General features: G+C 40.9%; 1 protein-coding gene across 21 annotated transcripts in view; it reads right to left on the reverse strand.

Annotated features, from left to right (window-relative positions):
- Nucleotides 1–8,811, reverse strand: part of IFT25 (intraflagellar transport 25) — a 34,730-nt gene that overhangs the window by 25,116 nt on the left and 803 nt on the right. For 18 of the 21 annotated variants that reach the window (NR_167989.1, NR_167990.1, NR_167992.1 and 15 more), the window contains exon 2: nucleotides 3,294–3,406. The exons of the other annotated variants lie outside the window; for them this stretch is intronic. Coding sequence is in view for 9 of the 18 variants with exons in the window: in XM_047422521.1 (XP_047278477.1) it covers nucleotides 3,294–3,391 (98 nt within the window). In the remaining 9 variants the exon portion in view is untranslated. The remainder of the gene's footprint in view (nucleotides 1–3,293; nucleotides 3,407–8,811) is intronic. 21 annotated transcript variants of the gene reach the window in all.

Here is an 8,811-nt window from a genome sequence, read left to right on the forward strand (position 1 = left end):
ACTTACCCAGGAATTTTAATTCTAAATATAGTATTCTTCTACACTACACCAAAAGGACTGATTTTCTCTCTTCTTTTTTACTTTGCTTTTTTTTTTCCTAGTGTAGAACTTCTTTTCCCCTTTTTCATTGACACATTAAACACAAACGGCAGAGGAAAAGTAGAAGTATAATCATTTTCTTTTTTTAGAGATGCGGTCTTGCTATGTTGCCCAGGCTAGTCTCAAACTCCTGACCTCAAGCTATCCTCCTGCCTCAGCCACTATGCCCAGCTATTTATTTAACTCTTATTTCTGAAGGAATGGAGAGTTTGGAACAGGGCCATAAAACAATATTCCATTATCCTGTAGGGACACATTTATAGCACTGTTTTCTCCAAATACTCCTATGGTTACTCTATTTAGATAAAGCAACTGTGAACAGAAAATAACTTTTGGTTTTTCTTTGAGACAGAGTCTCGCTCTGTCACCCAGGCTGGAGTGCAGTGGCATGATCTCAGCTCACTGAACTTCCACCTCCTGGGTTCAAGCGATTCTCGTGCCTCAGCCTCCCGAGGAGCTGGGACTATAGGTGCACGCCACCACAACTGACTAATTTTTTGGTATTTTTAATAGAGACAGAGTTTTGCCAAGTTGGCCAGGCTGGTCTTGAACTTCTGACCTCAACTGATCTGCCCGCCTCAGCCTCCCGAAATGCTGGGATTAAGACATGAGCCACCGCGCCTGGCCAGAAATTAACTTTTAGTGTCTACAATATACAGTCTAATTATATTTTCTGGAACTGCATATGGATTAAAAGTCCCCGATGTATTCTGTTCAGTTATCAGGACAGTAATTACATTATTCCATGTTTTCCCGTACTAACAGTTTTTGTCTAATCTAAAAAATATTATGTCTTTATTCATCAAGATGGACAGAGCCTAAAATATTAACTGTGATATATAATAGCTAATCTTAATGTTCTATAAACATATGAACATACTCGCTTGAGAGAAAGATCACCAAAGTAGTGCAGGGTAAATTGATCTTGCCTTAGAAAACGAATCTATCTCCAATCAGAATCAAGGAGTGTTTCTGGAAAGTCCTCTATTTCTGGCAAACAACTTAAGGCAAATCTCCTCAGTTCTGTGTATCCTTAAAGCAGTTGCCACATTAATTTTTCTACTCCAAGACAGAGTAGGATAGTAACTATTACCTGAATTTCAGGAAGTAAACAACTAAGAAGAAGAAAGAAGGGACACAGGCAAAAAGTGGATATTGAATTTTTTATTCAAACTAAATTTGAGTTAACCTAGTGTAGCACAAAGATCCCTGAAGTACAAGTTAGAAGACACGAGTGTCAGTTGATTCTGCCTCTTGCTTATCTGTGTAATTTTGAGCAAGTCATTTTTATTTTGAGCAAGTCATCTGATCATTCTTTTCTTCATCTTTACAACGGGGTTGAAAATACTTTTTTGTGCTTCTTATTCCCCAAGATTACTGTGAGGGTCAACTGACAAAGTATCTATGAAATTATAAAGCCCTATGCAAATGTACAGTTATATATACATATATATGTGTTTATATGTATGTGTGTATGTGTGTAGACTTTGATTACTTTCCAGTATTAGTCAAGTTTGACTCATAGAAATAGTCTCTGACTTACAGGAATTCACAGTTGAGAGAGGGAACAAACATTAAAAATAAACACTACAATAAAGGAAAAAGTAAGGTAACAGAGGTATATACCAAATGTTATTGGAGCCCAGCAAAGAGATAAACGAATCTGAGGAGAAAAGTCAGTTGCCATAAAGATGACAACTACGCTTCAAGGAAGAGGCTGAGTTGCTAGAATTTCATCCAGATACATGGGCTTCAAGATATGCAAAGAATCATAAAACCTCTGTTACAACCAGTTCTGCCTTCAATGATTAAAAGTAGTACTTAACCTCTTTAGACCTCTCTTACCACAAGTCTAAAATAAAGGGTTTTGGCAAAATAAACCCATAAGTCCCGCCAGTCCTACAATTAGATGATTCTATGAGTCAAACTCTGTTCATTGTACATATACCAAGAAAGAGGGTTCAAGAAAGTAGTAAGCCAGAACTATTAAAAAAGGAGTCCTCCACCAGGCAGGGGGCTCACGCCTGTAATCTCAGCATTTTGAGAGGCCAAGGCGGGCGAATCACCTGAGGTCGGGAGTTCGAAACCAGCCTGACCAACATGGAGAAACCCCGTCTCTACTAAAAATACAAAATTAGCCAGGCGTGGTGGCGCATGCCTGTAATCCCAGCTACTCGGGAGGCTGAGGCAGGAGAATCGCTTGAACCTGGGAGGCAGAGGTTTTGGTGAGCCGAGATCGTGCCATTGCACTCCAGCCTGGGCAACAAGAGCGAAACTCCGTCTCAAAAAAAAAAAAAAAAAAAAAAAAAAGAGTTCTCAGGCTGGGCTCAGTAGCTTACGCCTGTAATCCCAGCACTTTGGAAGGCTAAGGTGCGCGGATCACAAGGTCAGGAGTTTGAGACCAGCTTGGCCAATACGGTGAAATCCCATCTCTACTAAAAAATACAAAAATTAGCCAGGTGTGGTAGTGCACGCCTGTAGTCCCAGCTACTCAAGAGGCTGAGGCAGGAGAATCACTTGAACCTGGGAGTTGGAGGTTGCAGTGAGCCAAGATGGTGCCACTGGACTCTGGCCTGGGTGACAGAGTGAGACTCTGTCTCAAAAAAAAAAAAAAAAAAGGAGTCCTCCCATTCCCATTAACTGCTTTTTCTTGGAATCTGAAGTCTAAGAACAATATTTAGAAAAATATCTAGCTAGAAAAAGCTCTAGCACAATGAAGAGTAGAAATTGGAAGGATATCAAAAAGGGGAGAAGCAAAACAATACACGATAGCAAGGAATGAAGCATTCAGTTCTGCAAAGATATCACTTAGACCAGTAAGGAAATAGGTAGTAAATAGGAAGTTATAATATTTACATTCTTATTCCAAGAAAAACGGAGTAAAACCATAACCAGACCTTAAAATTTACACTTCCATAAAATGAAGTTGTTTGAGTTTTTGCCTTGGTAAACCACTTCTAAAAAAACCTATTTGTATCAAGAGTTCAGTTTAGGCATTATAAAGAAAAGGATCAAAAACCTAAATATACACAACTCAATTAGTTTCAGAAATGGTACCAAAAGTGGATATCAGGTAATCCACCAAACATTTATTAAACTATGTTTAATAGGGCAAGTTGTTATAAAACACAGTCCAAGTACTCAAGGGATTCACCGATTTAAGACTGTAAACAACAAAGTATAGTAACTCTTACCCATCAATGATATTTTCAGGTGGGTGTTTTTCATCACTTGATGTAGCTAAAATCACTTCGGACCCTTCAGAGCTCAGACAGAGATCAATTTTTCTCATCTTAAAGTGTTTAACCTGCAAATTAAAAAATAACAAAAAAAGCAACTTCTTGATTCTCTAAACTTTATCTGAGAAAACGAAGTGAGAAGGAAAGGCTGTTGCCTAGCAGATGGTTTAACACCCAAGCTATTCAACATGTGGGAGGGACTCTAACATGTTTGTTTAGGTAAGAAACCTCTCCCAGGGATAATCTATAAGACATGACTATTTCTGCTACTCTGCTTCACAAAATAAGTCCCTGACTACCCTAGCCAAACAAAAAAACAAAAACACAGAGGTACAGGAAGAAGGTCAACCGAGGAGAACAACATGGAATACCATAAAAATACTCGATTAATTTGAAAGAAGGCAGAAAAAGAGAAACAAAAGAATAAAGAAAAATGGGACAAATAGAAAACAAATAGCAAGAACACAGATTTAAGCAAAAATACATCAATTATTCCATTGAGTGTTAATAAACATTCAATTATTAAATTAAAAAAACAACTAAATACTGTTTTCCAGAGATACATTCTAAATATAAAGATACAGACTAAAAGCAAAATGACAGAATAAGGTATAAAGTCTTAATGTCTGGCAAGGTAAATTTCCCTACTTTTCTTAAAATTTTTAAAAATTTTCATTATTTTATGTTTTAGTTTTTTAGAAATAGGGTCTCACTCTGACACCAAGGCTGGAGTGCAGTGGAGCAATCATGGCTCACTGCAGCCCTGAACTCCAGGGCTCAAGTGATCCTCCCACCTTAGCCTCCCAAGTAGCTGAGACTACAGGTATGCCACTATGCCCAGCTAATTTTTAAAAAAATTCTCTGTAGAGGCCAGGTGTGGTGGCTTATGCATGTAATCCCAGAACTTTGGGAGGCCAAAAAAAAATTTTTTTTTTTCTGTAGAGATGGGGTCTTGCTATGCTGCACAGGCTATCTTTTTTTTGAGATGGAGTCTCAGTCTTGTTGCCCAGGCTGGAGTGCAATGGGGCGATCTTGGCTCACTGCAACCTCTGCCTTCCGGTTTCAAGCAATTCTCCTGCCTCAGCCTCCTGAATAGCTGGGATTACAGGCAACAGCCACCACGCCCAGCTAATTTTTGTATTTTTAGTAGAGACGGGGTTTCACCATGTTGGCCTGGCTGGTCTCAAACTCCTGACCTTGTGATCCACCCACCTCAGCCTCCCAAAGTGCTGGGATTACAGGTGTGAGCCACCGCGCCCGGCTTGCACAGGCTAGTCTTAAAACTCCTGGCCTCAAGTGATCCTCCTGCCTCAGCCTTTCAAAGTGCTGGGATTAAAGGCATGCACCACTGTGCCCGGCCAATATCAATATTTTATAAAAATGCATTTCTTCTTAGTTTTTGTTTATTAGCATAAAGTTCACTTTCTATTATATTTTAAAAACTAGTATTGATAGTATTAAAAGTGTGGTAACATTGGTAAGAAATAAAAACATATATTTTAATTTTTTGTGCCTTTTTTCTCTACCAATCTTACCACAGTTTTCGACACTATTGATACCAGAGAACCAGTCAGTGTGGGATGAACATTGTCAAGCCTTAGTTTTAAGAGGAGAAAGATGGTGAATTCTGTAAATACAGATTGATAAACTTGAATGCTAATTCTCGACAAAATCCTAAAATTATTAAATTTCATTATTAAAATGGTAACCTTGAAAATGTAACCAAGGAAGTACTAAAATTGGAAGTAGCAGTAACATTAGTTTACAAGCTATACCAAACCTATATATTTCGGTTTGTCTGATGGAATTCCTACCCATCTGGAACATGTTCTAAAGATTTCAACAAAGCTTCAGACAAAGCTTCTCAAGATACCCTGTGGACCCGACAGAGAAATATGAATTGGGTGATAGCTAGTACTCTAGGTAGATATTTCTAACTCTGAGTGGCTATACTCAAAGAATGATGATTAATGGAAGAAAATGAACTTGTGGAGGACTTCTATCCTTATCCTACTCAACATTTTTATTAATTAAGGATGCACAAAGTATGCTTATCAATTTTGCAGACACAAAGCTGGGATGTCAGCTGATATGCTAGGTGACAGAATTAGCATTCAAAAAGAAATGAGCAAGCTAGAAAGACGACTTGCAATGAGTAAGATATTTAATAAGGATAAAAGTAAAAACCTATACTCAGTTTTGAAAAAAATCCATCATACAAGGGTTGGTCTAAATCAGGGGTTAGCAAACTACTGCCTGTGAGCCATATCTAGCCTGCCATCTGTTTTTGTATGGCCCACAAGCTAAAAATGCGTTTAACATTTTAAAATATTTTTAAAAATCAAAATATTCTGTGACACACAAAAATTACATGAAACTCAGATTTTAACGTCCATGAATTATATTGGAAAGTGGCTATGCTCATTCACTTATATATTGCCTATGGCTGATTATATGTTACAGTGACATAGCTGAGTCACTGTGAAAGACCATAAGGCCCATAAAACCTGAAATATTTACTATTTGGCCCTTTACAAAAAAGTTTGCCAACCTCTGATCTGATAAAACATATAGGTTTGGTTGACCACAAAGTCAATATAAGGTAACAGTGTACTCTATCTGCCCCTAAAGGTAATGGAATGCTATCTTAGAGTTAAGGAAGTACCACATTCCATCAACATTTTTGAACACCAATTGAACAAAGGGCCAACCACTGTGCTAGTAGTGCAAAGATGAATAAAACAACCTAAGTGACTAAGACTTGGTTCTTGCCTTCAAGCTCAGAGTCAAGGAAGATGAATAAGCATGAAACTAACAGTACAATATGCTATGTGCTAACATCATGTGACGCACATCCAGAATACTGTGTTCAGTTCTGGGTACTACGTTTTAAGTAGGACATTGTCAGGCGTGATATTGTTCGGAGGAGAGTAAAAAGTTCATGATGATCTATAAACCATATTACATAGAAAAAGGTGAAAAATAGAAATGCGACTATAATTTTTACTCTCAGTGGTGCTCACAAATGGAAAAAGGATTTAAATTTCTTTTTTTTTACACCTCCTGGGGCGTGAACTGGACTCAACAAATGCACATTTTAAGCAGGAAGACTTTGGAGAGACAAGGACTTTCGTTCAAAGTAAAGATTTTAAATTTCTTTCATCCCTGAAAACGTCCAAGAAAAGTCGGTAAGAGATCATAATCTATGGAAGAAGGCAAAGAAATCTACGAAGGAAGCCAAAGAAAGGATTCCTGCATTGGTAGTTCTCTTAGGCTGAGTCAGATTTTAGGAAAGGTAGATTGGGAATAGATAATGAAAGATCTGAAAAGCCAGGTTAATGGCAATGAACTTTATCCTGTACTCCAGTGGTTCTCAACTGGACTGGGTGTAGATTTTGGCCTCCAAGGGACACTTCAAAACATCTGAAGTTTTAACTGTCACAACTTGGGAGGGAACGCTGCTAAATATACCATCATATACGGGACAGCACATCCTCAAGTAATTATTGGTCCCAAGTATAAATAGTGTAAAGCTGGGGAAACTATGCAGTAATCTATTTGGCGGTGGAAATGTGAGGGTTGGAGATGTAGGGAGAGAACTTTTTTTTTTTGAGGCAAGGTCTGGGCTCTATGGCCCAGGCTGGAGTGCAATGACTCGATCTCGGCTAACTGCAACGTCTGCCTCCCGGGCTCAAGCGATCCTCCCACCTCAGCCTTCCTAGTAGCTGGGACTACAGGCATGCACCACCACGGCCGGCTAATTTTTTTGTTTTGTAGAGATGGGGTTTTGCCATGTTGCCCAGTCTGGTCTCTAACTCGTGAGCTCAAGCGATCCGCCTGCCTTGGCCACCTAAAGTGCTGGGATTACAGAAGCTAGTCACTGTGTCCGGCGGATAACTTGTTTTTTAAAAGAGAGTTACACTTTAGGGTTGATATGGAGCAGATGAATAGGAAAGAATGTACTCTCCAAATGTTCAGTTCTTTTCTTACCTCACATTCTTAAGTTTTCTGAGAGAAGCAAACACATGCTTTAATACAAAACTCATTTCACACCTTCTATATTCACCATTACCCTTCCTATTTCCTGTTTTGGGTAGAATTACTTAAGTAGAAACGGCAGAGACTTGGTTTTCTTTAAGGTTCTTTGTTGCAGTTAATGAGAAGAGGCAACCAACCTTAGAGAAATCCATACAATGCCAGGCCTGGTGACTCGCCTGTAATCCTGACACTTTGGAAGGCCGAGGTGGGCGAACAGCTTGAGCTCACAAGTTCAAGACCAGCCTGGGCAACATGGTGAAACCCCAAAACCCTCTCTACTAAAAATTCAAAAATTAGCCGGACCTGGTGGCAGGCGCCTGTAATCCCAGCACTTTGGGAGGCCCAGGCAGGCGGATCACTTGAGGCCAGCGGTTCAAGACCAGCCTGACCAACATGGTGAAACCTCGTCTCTACTAAAAATATAAAAATTAGCTGGGTGTGGTGGCAGGTGCCTGTAATCCCAGCTACTCCGGAGGCTGAGGCAGGAGAAGCTCCTGAACCCAGGAAGCGGAGGCTCAGTGAGGCGAGACCGCGCCACTGCACTCCAGCGTGGGCGACGAGCGATTATGTCTCCAAAAAACAAAACAAAGTGCAGGTTTGGGAGGTAGTCTAATCCCCCACCCCTTTAGAGCAAGGCAATTTCCTCAGGGCCGCAGTTTACCAAAGGTGGTACACTCTGGGGTGCTATCCTTTCCATTTTTTACAATCCCTGACCCTGGTATTCCCTGATGCCTTATCCTGTCTTCTAAACCAGTGCCACTGGTTTCGTCCCCAGTTCACCCTTTCATCGCTAGCTCACATGCCCTTTGTGGTCCTTCTTTCCCCAAACCTCTTCAGGTCAAGTCCTTAGAGGACCTTCTCCCTGACCAGCTCCCTTGGTTCTGGTGCTACAGCTGGACTCCTCACGCTCTTTCTTCAAGCATCATCCATTGGGAACGTGGTGTACTTTAGAAAACACGGACCCGGCCTAAGGCTTCTGTCTCCGAGGGGCCAGGGCCACGGCTTCCAAGGCAAACCAGCCCTGGCACCACCTTCTCACCTCCATCCCAAACCCTCCTCCTCAGTTCAAGGCCCTAAAGCCTCAGACTTGTGGAGGCCCGCCCCAAATTATGTAAAGAATATATAAATGCCCCCGACCTTAGGTACAATTTATAGCTAGATGTGTTACGTTGCGGCTGACAGCTTACATTACATTTTGGTAGACTAATTAATTTCGATTTACAACTGGTTTTCCCTTTTGGGGGGTCAAGACGCTATTTCTGGCCTCAAAGAGTTTCGTGGGCTGGTAGTGGCGCTTCCAGGGTCTAGAGGAAAAGGCGGGCCCGCGTCAGACCTCCCGCCGCGGCCCTTCCACGCCTCCCGCCGCGCGTCTCTTCACCACCCCTCCACTGTTGCTCCCTTCCCACCAACATCCCCGTCCTTCTGCCTTGCCCGG

The sequence above is a fragment of the Homo sapiens genome, chromosome 1, assembly GCF_000001405.40.
Source record: "Homo sapiens chromosome 1, GRCh38.p14 Primary Assembly".
Lineage (NCBI taxonomy): Eukaryota > Metazoa > Chordata > Mammalia > Primates > Hominidae > Homo > Homo sapiens.